General features: G+C 65.4%; 1 protein-coding gene across 12 annotated transcripts in view; it reads right to left on the bottom strand.

The window, feature by feature from the left end:
* PLCH2 (phospholipase C eta 2) overlaps positions 1-13,501 on the bottom strand; it is an 89,590-nt gene that overhangs the window by 20,614 nt on the left and 55,475 nt on the right. For 10 of the 12 annotated variants that reach the window (XM_047435029.1, XM_047435028.1, XM_047435038.1 and 7 more), the window contains 4 exons: positions 6,297-6,443; positions 4,942-5,185; positions 4,607-4,736; positions 301-471 (listed from right to left, as the gene is read on the bottom strand). In XM_047435029.1, coding sequence (XP_047290985.1) covers positions 301-471; positions 4,607-4,736; positions 4,942-5,185; positions 6,297-6,443 — 692 coding nt within the window. Of the gene's footprint in view, positions 1-300; positions 472-4,606; positions 4,737-4,941; positions 5,186-6,296; positions 6,444-7,214; positions 8,631-13,501 lie in introns of those variants that run through there. The other 2 variants (NM_014638.4, NM_001303013.1) reach the window with 2 other exon arrangements.

The raw sequence follows: 13,501 nt of genomic DNA, 5'->3' as shown, positions 1-13,501 counted from the left end.
CAGGGGCCCCTGGAGGAGAAACCACAAACTTTCCCTACCTGCTTGGCTGCCCCATAGAGCGCACCCTGTAATATCAAAACTAAAGCCAACTTGGGGGGCTCTCAAATGCCAGGCTGTGACCTGCCCCACCCTAATCTCTCCATCTCAGAGCAGGGGCATGAGCCCAGGTAGCCCATCCCTGGCCTGGGATAGCTTCAGACAGCTCCCCCATCACCACTGTCCCCTGACTGAAGCTCAAAGCTCAGAACAGAAGGCGAGGCCTGATGGCTGGCCCCCCAACACCTGCCCCGGGCAGCACACCTTCTGCTCCACCTGCAGGAAGCGCTGCAGGCTGGCGGCATCCAGGTGGTCCTTGTGGTTGCTGTAGGTCAGCATGAGCAGGTAGAGGTCCCGGCGGGTGGACATCATCTTGTAGAAGGCACAGAACTCTTCAAAACCCAGCGTCCCTTGGTGGTCATCCGTGTCCGCTTCCTGCAATGCAAGGCCTTGGGTCCCCATTGGCACCTCGACCAGGGCCTGCATGCACAGGGGTCCTTCAGGACCACCCCACTCCCCAGTCAAGACCAACATGCAAGCCCACCCTCCTCTACTCCACTGCCCTTGTCACGGCCTCCAATCACTCCCCAGGGCACGGGCCCACCCACCAGGAGGACAGCCCCATGAAAATGCAGAACTGACGCACCTGCCTGAAGCCATATGCTTTTCACCTTCAACCCACAGCCACCTCCATATACTCACCCCACACAGCAGTTAACACTACCCACACGGAAGCCAACATCACCCATACGGGAGTCAACAACACCCACGCAGGAGTCAACACCTCCCCCACACAGCAGTCAACACCCCCCACACGGGAGCCAACGCCACCCACACGGGAGTCAGCGCCACCCACACGGGAGTCAGCGCCCCCCCACACGGGAGTCAGCGCCCCCCCACACGGGAGTCAGCGCCCCCCCACACGGGAGTCAGCGCCACCCACACGGGAGTCAGCGCCCCCCCACACGGGAGTCAGCGCCCCCCCACACGGGAGTCAGCGCCACCCACACGGGGGTCAGCGCCACCCCACACGGGGGTCAGCGCCACCCCCACACGGGGGTCAGCGCCACCCCCACACGGGGGTCAGCGCCCCCCCAAACGGGGGTCAGCGCCCCCCCAAACGGGGGTCAACAACACACTCTGGGCTGGAGGCTGGGCATCCCAGCAGAAACCCAAGGTGCTACAGGGGCCATGGGAATCCCATGGCAGCAATAAAGTCCCCATGGAAGGGGATGCTTGAAATCCTTGAGCCCTAAGGATTGAGGACTTTGCCTCACAAGGGTATGGGAGCCCAGGGCTGGGCAGGGCAGGGTGAGAGCATGACCTGCTTGGAGGTGACATGGCCCCAGTGTGACACCCCAGCTCAGCCCCTACTCACGAGGAACACCAGGCCCAAAGGGACGCAGTGCCTAGCCCTGCTCTTCAAAGAGTTCCAGAGTTCAACATTTCAGGCAGGGGCAGCCCTGACAGCTCGTTTCACACCTGCCCAGCTGCTCAGCATCTTGAGGGGTCCTACGCTCCCAGTGAGCCGCCTGCTGTCACTTCGGCCCTGGCCCCCCACTGAGGATGTGGCCAGAGATGGGACGGGCTGATCAGATATGCCTTGAAGGCAGGGTTCCGCCCTGCGCCTGCTCACCCCAGGCCTGGCCACACCGACACCCAGCCAGCAGGTGTCCGCCTACACTGGCTGAGTCCTCAGGCCTCCACGGAAGCCCCAGACTGGGTGCCCTGAGAAGCAGGAAATACCTCCAAAAGTCGAGGAGGTGCTGCATCCACCACAGCAGTAGTCTAGAGGCTTCGTGATTTGGGCTTCCAGACAAGCCCCGCTGGGTCCTCTTCCCAGAGCCCACACAGGCTGAGGACGGCGTGCTCTCAGCAGCCCACCCAGGGGCTCCAAGGGGGCCTGCGAGGAGCCCAGAGTGGGGTCGAGGAAGCAGGCTACAAAGGGCCACCTGCACGCTGGCCATGCCTCTCAGGACAGCTTAATGTCCTGGTCCACAGGAGAGTACCCAGGGCCCCGCCTCGGCCTGCAGATGTGCCTCAGCTGAGCAGGAACCAGGGCCGGCTCGGCACCATGGACAGCAGCAGCCACCAGCCTGCCACTGGGGACCAGCCTTGCCTCCTCCCGTGGCCACGATCTGGGGTGGCCAGGGGTGGTGGTGCCAGCTCCCCTGGGATCCCCTCTGAGCCAGGGGAGTCACCAGTCAGGTGGCCCCATCAGCCCCTTTGTCCCTGTCCCCAGGGCAGAGCCCTGGCTGCCACACGCCCTACACCCACGGCTTGGCATGAAGGTGGGTCAGGACCCCAGGGACAGGCTGTGTGCCCACACCAAGGCTGGGATGAGGCCAGCGTGGCATGAAGGGCCCAGCTAAAGCCACATGCACTGGGCCCAGCACACACCAGATGAAGCCCTGGGGTGCCTGGTGCGAGGTGTGAGGGTAGCCCCAAGTCTGGGGGTGCCCACTCACTGCACCCAGGACAGCCATGAGGGGACACACTGCAGCTCAAAGGGCCCCCATGGGACAGAGCCTGGGCTGATGGCCCTCCCAGGGGCCATGGGACAAAGCCCAGGCCAGAGGCCCTCCCAGGGCCTGTGGCTGAGCTGGGCAGAGATGCGGCCCCCTCCACAGAGTGGCTATGTGCCAGGGTGAGCCACTCACCACTGAGCAGGAACAAAAATGCTCGGACAGTGAGGCCCTCGGGGCCTGAGCCCCACCCTAGAACACCCCTGACACAGTCACGTGGCATCTTTTCTTTCCACAAAGGGAAGCCACTGCTGTTGAACGTGCACTTTGGCTGAGCCTGCCTCGGTGCCCGCCCAGCGCACTCTGGCAATTAGGCCCCACTGGGTCCAGCCCACTTCCAGCCTTATCTTAGGTTTGATGAAATTAGCCTCAAGCCAAGTGTTTATCCACCATGCAGTTCTCTCTGATTAGGCCGTGCCAGGCAATGGGAGCCATCTCCAGATTTCTCTACAGCGAAGCTGATGCCACTTCTCAGAGCCCCTCCAGCCTGGCTGCAGGCTCCTTCTCTCGGCTCTGCAGGGCCCAGAGAGGATGCAGTACAGATGGGCGGGGAGGCCCAGCGCTCTGAAACTGGGGCCGTCTCCAGCTGTCTTGACCACCAAAGACCAGGGCCACTGGGCCTCCACTACATAGGGCTGGAGTGCCAGGCCGGTAACCTGACAGCAACAGCTACCTCGCCATTCCTCTCCAGAGCCAGCCCTGCAGACTGTCCCTGCTTCCGCCTGCCTGGGGTTCCCTTAGGGAGGTCTGGTTGGACCTTCAGGCCCCAGAAACCACGCACACTCGTGCTGGATTCAGTGAGGGGCATCTGTCTCCTCCCACTCAGAGGCCACTCTGGAGCCTGCACCCTAAGCCACCCTGCTGCCCGGGCCCTGGCACAGCCTCAACTCTGTGGAGGGACCTGCTGGCCCCAGAGCTGCCCCTGAGCCCAAAATGTGGCTGGGGATGGCCCCAGGCAGGCAGGGAGAAGGGGCGCAGACATGCAGACTCAGCCACCTGCCAGCCCCCACAGCCCAGGCAGACTGTGTCCCCACTGGGGCCTTCACAAGCCCCGGGCAGTCCCCAGAGTGTCTGCAAGCACCCAGCCCCTAACTCACGCACACACCCTGTCCTGTGAGCAGGCCAGCTTCCCTTGCTCCAGCCAGGCATGACCAGCCACCTACAGTGAGAACAGGCAGCAGCTGGCAGGAGCTGGCAGGAGCTGGCAGGGGCTGGACACGGCGGAGCTGTCAGGCTGTGAGCATGTGTATGCGTGTGTGTGTGCATGTGTGTGCCTGTGTGCATATGTGTATGTGCACGTGTGTGCGTGTATTTATGCACGTGCATGCGTGTGCGTGTGTGTGCGTGTATGTGCGTGTCAGAGACCCCAGGGCCTGGCACTTGCACCCACAGAACCCGCTTTCCAAGCTGCAGCAAAGCAGCAAGGCCCCAGGGCCTGGTTTGCTGGCTCAGCCAGCACCACCCGGAACCAGGACCTGCTGACGGGCAGAGTTTCTCTCCCCCGGCCCAGCAGGCTTTCCGGAAACAGAAACCAATTACAGACAATAAAGGCCGCAGCTCAGCTGAAGGCTGCATTTTCATAACTCCTAACATCAGGGTGGTTGGGCGAGGGCGGCATGGGGAAAGTAACGAGCTGCTGCGCATCAGACTGGGCCCTGCCAGGGCTGGTGTACCCCCCTCGAGGCTGCGGGGCTGGGGCCTGGGAAGGGGGTGCAGCTTCATTTGGGCACCTGCCCTGAATGCCCAGTCCACTCACCTGGCAGGGCCTGTGCCAGGTGCCCCGACCACTTTCCCCAGAGCTGGCAGAGCAGCCCCCGGCCCAGCTGCAAAGAGGCAGCACCTGGGCACCCACCTGCCTGCCTGCCATAGGCTGTGGGGTGGCTGGTCAGACAGCCCCATCCTCAGCAGCCAGCTACTCTGTGCAGCTTGAGGGCACTGCCAGGGTCCCCTCCAGCTCAGTCAGGGCTGGCAGGCTCCCAGCCACACAAGCACAGCCCCCGTGCAGCCCTGGCTCTGGAGCCCAGGTAGGGCTCCCCCCAGCTCACCCTGAACATCTGCTTCACCCTCTGCCGGGGCAGGTTCACGTTGAGCTTGTGCAGCAGCTGCAGGACCTCGCCAATGCTCAGGCTGCCATCCCCGTTCTTGTCGGCCTCGTCAAACGTCTGCTTCAGCCACTTTGGTGCCGAGTTAGGGGCCAACAGCGATCCATGGGCCCAGCCCTGACACCTCCACCCTCTGGCCTAGGGAGGAAGGAATAGGGGACCCCAGCCTACCGGCCACTTCCCCAGTGTGTGACCCGGCAAAGGACAGGCCCCCCCAGGGTGAGCAGCCAAGGGGCCGGTCCCTGGGTCTGCATTGCCCGATAGGTGCCCAAGGATATTGGTCCCTGGTGCGCTGGCGGCGAGCCAGGCTGTCCTCGTCGCTGATGCCGGCCATGAGGTAGCGCAGGCCAGTGACCCAGGTGCGCGCCACCTCGCTGCTGGTGGAGACCAGGTCCAGCGACTCGCGGTGGCTGCCGTGGTAGATGCTGAAGCAGCAGTTGGGGTCGAAGCTGCCGTCAGGGTAGCGCTGGAAGACCTCCGACTGCCGCCCCTCACTCACCTCCTGGATGGAGTCGATGGAGACTGCGGGGTGGGGAGGGAGCACGGGTCAGGTCCCCGGGGGCCCAGCGTCCCCCTGCTGGCAGCCCCAACACTGCGGAGACCAAGCAGCCGGGAGCTCCTTGCCCACCTTTGCGGGACCCTCGGCAGGGCTCAGGGTCCAGAGTTCAAGAACCAAGGGTGAAGATCTGCGAGACTGCACAGCCCCCCACTGCTGACCCGTGTCCCTCCCCCTTTCCCTTTCCTGTGGAAAAGACACGCCCCCACGAGGGAGAGCATCCACCTCCCTCCACCTGCAGCCCCCAGTGCCCGGCTGGCCCGGGGCTCCACGTTTAACCAGCACGTCTCCACGTTCCAAGGAAGCCCCTGGACACCTCCAGGGCTCCAGCGCCGCAGGTGGGGACAGCGGCTCCAGGGACCCCCAGCTCCGCGCTCAGGTGCATCGAGGCTCTTGTGACCTCAGGTCCCCCTGGGGGCTCCGCAGCGCGACTCTCTCCACGGGCCCAAAGTGGCTACACGCTTGGCAACTGCTGGGCTGAGGCCTTGCCTGGCATGCCTGGGTCCTGACCATCAGCAAAGCCATCAGAAACCCTGGCTGCGCCCTGATCCCAGCCCTTGAGGACTGCCATGTCTCTCCCCAAACCGTGGGACCCTACCCGTTCCCTGTGTGCCTCAACTCTCCCCACCCACCCCCTGCACAGAGCCTCCATCTCGGGTGGCCCCTGCTCCCTCCAGCAGCCATGCCCAGTGGCTGCCTGAGCCACTGTTTGCACCCATACCCATCCATCAGCATACCTCTGTGGGGGTCGTTTCTGTTTATGGGGAGCTGTGACCTCCCCAGCTAGATGGACTATGCTGTGCCCCTCCTTCCAGCCCAGCACTCAGCACAGGGCTGGGCACAGTGCTACTCGGTCCTCACTGAGTCCCAGGGAGCTCTGCCAGGCGGGCAGGGGGCCTGGATCCCTCCTACCCCACAGCCCGAGGTCACTGCAGATCCCCAAGGCCACTGAGCCCAGAGGTGTCCAGGCCTAGGGTCTCGCTGCTCCTCAGCCATCAGTGGCTGCCCTGGGAGGGTCCCTACCGTCGTGTCCCCCCAGGGACTCTGATTTGTCCCCACCCCAGGGCTCCCACTCACTCTTGGCCTTCTCGTTCTTGCGTGAGGGCCTCCAGCGGATGCAGGAGCGGTGCTCGTCCAGGTAGTAGAAGCGGACCAGGCCCTTGGAGCCGCCACGCAGCTTCACCATCTGCATCCCCTCTTGCATGGCACCCATGCACCGCTCCACTGGACACGGGAGAGACACGGCTGTCAGCGGAGGCACAGCCACTCCTCGCAGGAGAGACACGGCCGTCAGCGGAGGCACGGCCACTCCTCACGGGAGAAACACGGCCGTCAGCGGAGGCACGGCCACTCCTCACCTCGCCCGGCCCCGCCCACACCGCCCTGCCAGTGACAGGGCAAAGGCCAGAGCCCAGGGCCACCTCCACCCCAGGTGCCGGCTTGCCTGGGTCACACAGCTCAGCTGGGCCCTGCCACTCCTCCCCAGATGGTCCTGGGAACTGAGGGCCCTGCTCCCCACCCTGCTCGGCCACCTGCCACTCCCACCACCTCCTGGACCAGTCCTAGCAGCCCTGGTAACCGGCGCTGGGCCTGGGGCCCCGAGAGCTACCACTCAGACGGAGCCAGCACAGAACTCAACAATGGGAAGGCCGGGCACGAGGCAAGACAGATGAGGTGGCTGGGCTGGCTGTCTGGGGCCATAGTGCAGTGGAGGCCCCTTGTCAGGGGCGGGGTGGGCCTAGCAGGCAGCAACCCCATGCCCCTGCCCCCGCCCCTGGCCACAGGTGGCTCCTGGGAGCGGTCGAATTCCTGAGTGCCTGTGCCCCTGCCTGGGGCATCTCCAGGAAAGCCCCCACCCCTCATGTGCAACAAGCGCCACGAATGGTGCCATGAATGTCTGCGTCGCACGCCCTGCACTGCAGTATGGACTTGGGAGGCTGTGGTGCCGGATCCGAGCTTCACAACCCCTCCCCTCCCCTCCCCCAGGCTGCCTGCCTCGCTCCTTCTCTCCCCTCCTCTCTCCATTCAGCCTCCTGCTGTAGCTTGTCCCAGGAGAGGGGGCTGCAGGGTCCAGGGAGTCCAGGCCAGAGTCAGCTGTCCCAGCCCAGGAACAGACTGGTCTCACCCCCTCGGTTCCTGCACACCTGCTCACAGAAAGCCCGGGTCCCAGAGGTACCATCTGCTAAAGCACAGAGACGTTAATCCCCACCCCAGGTCTGCACGCTGAGGGACCCTGGCGGGGGCGTTGTAGAGGACCAAGGGCAGTACTGGCCGGGCCTTCTTGGGGAAGCTACTACGTGATCACGAGCAGAGGGGAATTGAAGGGATGGAAGCCATGGCATGGGGGGCTGGGCTCTCCGGGGCACATGGGAGGTGAAGACGCAGGTATGGCTGCAGGGATTTAGGAGAGGGGTGAGGCAGGACACAGGGGCAGGGGGCGGGCAGAGGCCTGCAACAGGGCAGCCTGGACAGGACCCTGTCTGCCGCTGGAACAGAGAGCTGGCAGGCCAGCCCGGACCGGGGCCCTCCACAGGCCACCACAAGACACACACTCCACCCTCCCAGCCATACCCAGCCAGTCTCCTCTGCAGAGTCTCCTAACGGCAAAGGCCCTCATGTCCGGCACCAGGATGCCAGCCCAGCCGCCTGGGCTGCAAGCACCACTGACCCCCAGAGCACAAGGCACCCCTTCAATGAGAGCATTGGAGCCACCTGAGATCCCCCCTCGCCCCCTTGGGTTCAGCCCCCAGGCCCTGCAGGTGCCTGGGAGACCGAGGTGTGCTGAGCACGCCTCTGAGCGGCTGAGGGGCAGGGCCAGCCGACGCTGCTGGACCCACATGATCCCTAGAGCACCCGGGGGACAGGGGAGGCGAGTGCAGGATGGGATGGAGGCCCAGGCTTCCCCCACCTCCAGGAACAGCCCCCACCCACCAGTCACCTGGCCAGGGCCAGCACTCAGCCCAGGCCACTCGCCTGCCCCTTCTTACCCAGGGGGCCGAGCTGCCACTCTGAAGACAGCACCACACTCCCTCCAACCCAGAGGAGTACCTCCGCCAGCCAGGCCACCGTTCCCTTGGTCCGGCTGTCGGGGGAGGGCCATGGACCAGACATGGCCTGACGACAGCCGGGCCTGCTTCACGGAGGCCACAGAGGCCCACCGGCCTTCGGGCAGCGGAGGTCAGGCAGTGGCAGCGCTGGCGACAGGACCTCCGTGGGGCCTTCTCTCCTCTGCCTCTTCCTCCTCCTCCTCAGGGCCCTCCGAAGCCCCCACAGGGCTGTGCCCAGGCCCGGCTGGCATTGGCCTGACCGTCACCTGCTGTCCTGATGGCCCCCAGGCCAGCCTATCCACCCTCCAGGGCCACCAAGGAATCCCTGACGCAGCCGCCTCCCAAGGCTGGGGGAGCAAAGGACCTCAGCCCCGCCCAGCCCCAGGCCCAATCCCTGTGCTAATCCCAGCTCCAGCCCAGCTGGTGGAGGATTTAGGCCGAGGGAACTCCCAGCTGGGGATGGGAGGGCACTGGGGAGGCAACAGAGTTTCCCAAGGCCCCAGGCCACCAGACCCAGGTCAGGGCTGCGGGACAAGAGCAGGACCAACGGGAGGGCCCTCCTGGGACCCAGAGAACGCAACCGGAAGGCCTGCAGGGTACTGTCCTCCGAGGACCCTGTGTGGGGTGGGCCTCCCCGCTGTGCGCCCACCACAGATGCCGAGGCTGGGCCTGGAGTGGTCCCTGCCCTCACCCCGCATCCCTACTTATGAGGACCTCTGAGTGGATCCCCAAAGTCCAGAGGCAGGTGGCCCAGAGCAGGGGCAGAAGCTCACCTCATCCCCGCAGCGCCCAGCCCCTGTGGCTGGAGAGGGGAGCCGAGCCGGATCCCTTACAGCGACAACTCCCAGCCCAGGCCCAGGATGTGGGTCCCTGAGCCTGGGTTGGGCTCTCCATGTCTCCCTCATGCAGCTGCAGCCCCAGCCTGACCTTTCTCCACGGTCACCGAGCTGTGGCGGAGGAGGTGGCCCCATGCCCAGGGCACGTTTGTCCCCACATTCTGCCCTGCAGGGATGACAGCCATCTGACCTGGACAGGGGCCTCGCCCAAGGAGGACCCACCCCACCGTCTCAGCTCCCACTGAGGAAAGGACTCCAGGTCCCACTGCCACCAGGACCACACAGCCCACCCTGTGTACTGGCCCCGCACTACAGGACAGCACAGGCTCTCCCATCCCCAAGTCCAGGCCGGGACACCAGGGGCAGCTGTGGGAATGGGAGGTGGGCAGACCCCGGCTGAACACCAGCCACCTGTGTCCTGGCCATGCCCATGCTTCGTGACCACACTGGGGAGAACCCCGCCCTTCTTCCCACCCACTGCCCAGGCTCTACTGGCTCCAGCAACAAGGACTGGAAGGTTCCGGGCAGCTGCTCGCCTCCCCCCATACCAGGGGAGGAGTTTGGCCTGCAGAGCCCAGGACAGGGAGGTGCCAGGGCTGGGCATCCTGGCAGAGCCCCGGGGCCAAGGTCAGGCGTGGGAGGTGGCAGTCCCTGAGGAGATGGCCATGCGTCTCCAGCTGACCACTGACAACCAGGGCCACACCCAGCCAGATCAGATGCAGTCAGCACAGAGCCAACCCAGGCCCCCACCAGGGGCCCCGTCACAGGCTCTGCTGCTCTCGGCGGAAGCAGGTCAGCAGGCGTTTCTGGGCTCTGCCGTGGAATTAGATTAGGGAGCCATGAGCTGCAGGGAGAGGAGAGGGGCTGGAGTCCCGGGCGTCCTCAGGAAGACAGGGCCTCGGGGAAGGCCACCGTGTAAGGGGCAGCGCAGGGGCCAGGAGGTGGCCTGAGGGCCTGGAGACAGACCAGACGGCCATAGCCCTGGCCCAGGGCCCCTGCCCACCTCATACTGGGCTGCTGCGGGCTTCCACTCTGACCCAGGGGGTCCAGTTCTCCTTCCTGCACCTCAGAGGCCTCCTGGCCTGGGACACACCTGCTGTTCCCTCACCCTGGGCCTGGCCCCAGCTGGGGGTGCTCCCGTCTCTCACCCATCCCTCCTTGAAGCTCCCCAAGGCTGGGCCTCTGCTCCCTCCCTCCCTCCCTTGAGCTCTCAGCCACTAGCTGATCCCCCATCAGCTGGGGTTAGGGCTTGGAGGCCGCCATCTGCCTGGGCAGGGGTTCTGAGAGGAGCCACACATAGAGTGCCTGGCCCCAGCCCCACAACGTGGGTCCCAGGCTCCTGCACCCCAGGCCCCCTGACCTCCTCAGCAGCAGAGCTGGAATCCTCAACTGTCCAGGCGGGTGGAGGCCTGGCTAATCCCTTCCTGACACAGGCCTCTGCCGGGGGCTGCCCTGCCTGCCCTGAGGTCCAAAGGGACCGCCCACTCCCCTCCAAAACTCAGGCAGACACAGAACCGCAGCTGCAGCGTGAAGCCGGGGGTGCCCCGGGCCAAGAGACGTGGCAGGGGCCCAGGCCCAGAGACTTAAGAACCCCTCCCCACGTGCTGCCTGTGAGCCGGCCCAGGGCCCAGCCCAGCCCCCACACAAGGTCACGGAGGGGGCTGCCCCACCCCCATGCCGGCAGGCGAGCCCAGCCCCACAGCCTGCACTGACGGGCCCTCATGCTCACCCTGCCTGCCCTGAGCCAGGGCCCGGCCATCCTGAAAGCCCACAGGGAGGCCGAAGAAGCCACGCTCTGCTCTGTGGTTCCACACAGGGGCCCAGCCCTCAGCCATGGTCCACACCCACCCCCAGGCCGCCTCGGCCCCTCCCGTGAGCCTGAGCCAGGACACCTGATGTGGGAGCTCAGGTGGGATTGTAGCAATGCACCTGGCTGTGGGCCCACACCAGAGGCCAGACTGGGAAGGGCCGGCAGTCCTGGTCGGGCAGATATAGGCTCCGTCGGGGAGAGGAGGGCCCTGGCTCACCTGCTGCTCCCCCAGGTCCCTGCACAGCACAGTGGGGCTCCCCAGTCCTCAGAGCACTGCCTGACCCCGGGACATCCCTGGGGCAGGGACCTCGAAGTCCTCCTCCCTGCTCTGTCCCTGTGAGGCCATGATCCAACACGTAGCAGGCGCTGGCTGGACACAGGTGGACAGGGAGGGACGGGCAGGACAGAGGCAGCTAAGGCCACCAGGCCTGCTCTGAGGAGGTGACGGGAGCCAGTGTCCACACTGGTGTCCAGGGTCCAGCTCTCAAGGGTCTGGCCGGCTTCAGCCCTGGGCCTGGAGAAGCCTCCCACACAGATGCACCCAGATGGGCGGATGGGTGGACAGACGGGCAGACGGGGCTGCACCCCAGTTGGGGAGAGTGCATGGGAGGGCTCTGCGGGCCCCACGGTGACACGCAGAGGAATGCGCCCGTGATCCCCTGGGCTCAGCCCCCGCACCTGGGCTGCACCGGCCCACCCTGACTGCCTGGCCCTGGTGGCTGCTGGGAAGCAGGGGTCCTGGGCCTGCCCCCCGACCTTGGGTTGTCCTCCCTGTCTCAGTGCCTCAGTTTCCCCACTGTGAGAGGTTTGCTCCTGCAGCCCCTTCCTTTCTTCCCAAGGCTGGAACCGGGCGGGTGGCAGCTGATTAGAGGAAGAGCGCGCGCTGTCAGAAGCCAGGGCGGTGTTGGCTTAATTTTGTTTTTATGGCGGAGATCGATCTTGTCCTAACACAGCAGGCAGCATGGGCCTCGCGGCTGTCATCAACAAGGGGCCAGCGGTGGCTCAGCATCTCCGCCTCTCCCCTGGGGAAGGCTGGAAAATAATGAATCTTCCAACAAAACCCACAAATCACACCCACAGGCCTCCCGGCATGTACACACACACCCGGGGCAGCTTTGGGTACCGCAGCCCCTCCCACGACAGGGGCATGGGGACTGCACATGCCCCTCCACCAACCTCTTCCCTTCACGAGCGTGTACGGGACGGGCAGGGGCCCCACCTCTTCCAGGCCTGTCCAGAGGTGGCCCTGGCTGCCTCTAAGCCCCCTCCTCTCCCGACGCTTGCTGCCTTTCAGCAGGACATTTCAAAGGACCTCCCTGGGCCCACCCGTGTCTCCCTCTGAAGCCCCCACAGGGCTGTGCCTGGGCCCGGCTGGCATTGGCCTGACCGTCACCTGCTGTCCCAATGGCCCCCAGGCCAGCCTACCCACCCTCCAGGGCCACCAAGAGTCCCTGAGGCAGCCGCATCCCAGGGCTAGGAGAGCAAAGGACCTCAGCAGCAGTGAGGCATGAGGGCCAGATGCTCCTGCAGCCCTTCCTGGCCCTGGCTCTTCCGCGCCCCCCTGCCCCTCGCAGCCCCAGCATCCCCCTCCCGTGCTGCCCCCAAGGGCCGGCCCAGCATGCAGGAGGGGCTGAGGCTGTGCTTGGGTGGACGGGAGGGAGGAGGAAGTGGCCACCTTGCCCCAGCCACAGTGCTCACTGGAGATCAGCCGGGCCCCTGGACTGGCGCCGCACGGGAGGGAGGGCCGGGCCCACACACATATGGCGGAGATTATTTAAACGTCTGAGAGAAGCCACTTGTCCCCCCGCACGTCTGGGAGCCTCCTCCCCAACTATTTTTATTTTATCAGGAGTGTGAGTCGGTGCCTCGAGCCCTCCCCACAGGCAGGACCCCAGAGTGGTCGTGCTAGGAGCCCAGGGATCCCAGAGTCAGGCTGGGCCTGAGGGGTCCCAGCAAGGGCAGGGGAACCAAGGGCAAGTGCCCGGGGCCTGTGGGGCTGGGGCCACCCTAGGCACACCTGGAGGGCACCGCAGGGACAGACGCTCTGCCCTCTCCTCTGGCAGCGCCCTCCGTGTGGCAGCCACTCCAGCTCTCAGCAGGAGGTGGGGGCGTTGTGGAGGGAAGGGCCTGACCCCATGGCAGTACCCAGCTCGGCAGGGGAGCAGGCCGGAGGGGGCCCTGGGGCCTGACTTTGTTCTGCCCCCTTGGGTGGCTCCTGGTCCGTGTGCACAGAGCCCTGGGGGAGCTGGAACGGCCAGTGTCCTAGAGCGTGGGGACAGGTTCTCGATGGCCAGCCATACTCCATCGGCCGCGCCACCTGACCTGCCCTCCACCTTCCACCGGCCCCAGAGCAGGGGGAGGACAGCAGCCAGGCTCATGCTCCCCTGGTGGCCCAGCTGCTGCTAGAAGGATCCAGCTCCCACAGGGCCCAGAGGGAGGGCCAGCAGACACCTTTCTTCTGTCATCCGGCCACCCGGTGTGGAGGGATGGACAGGAGGACTTGTGATGGTCACAGGTGTCCAAAGCAGTCCCAGTTGCACAGAAAGGTGCAGGAACTTGAGGCCACTGGACCCTCCAAGCAGCCGGCAG

This window comes from Homo sapiens, chromosome 1, assembly GCF_000001405.40.
Source record: "Homo sapiens chromosome 1, GRCh38.p14 Primary Assembly".
In the NCBI taxonomy this organism is placed as follows: Eukaryota; Metazoa; Chordata; class Mammalia; order Primates; family Hominidae; genus Homo; species Homo sapiens.
This window is presented reverse-complemented; position numbering and strand designations above follow the sequence as displayed.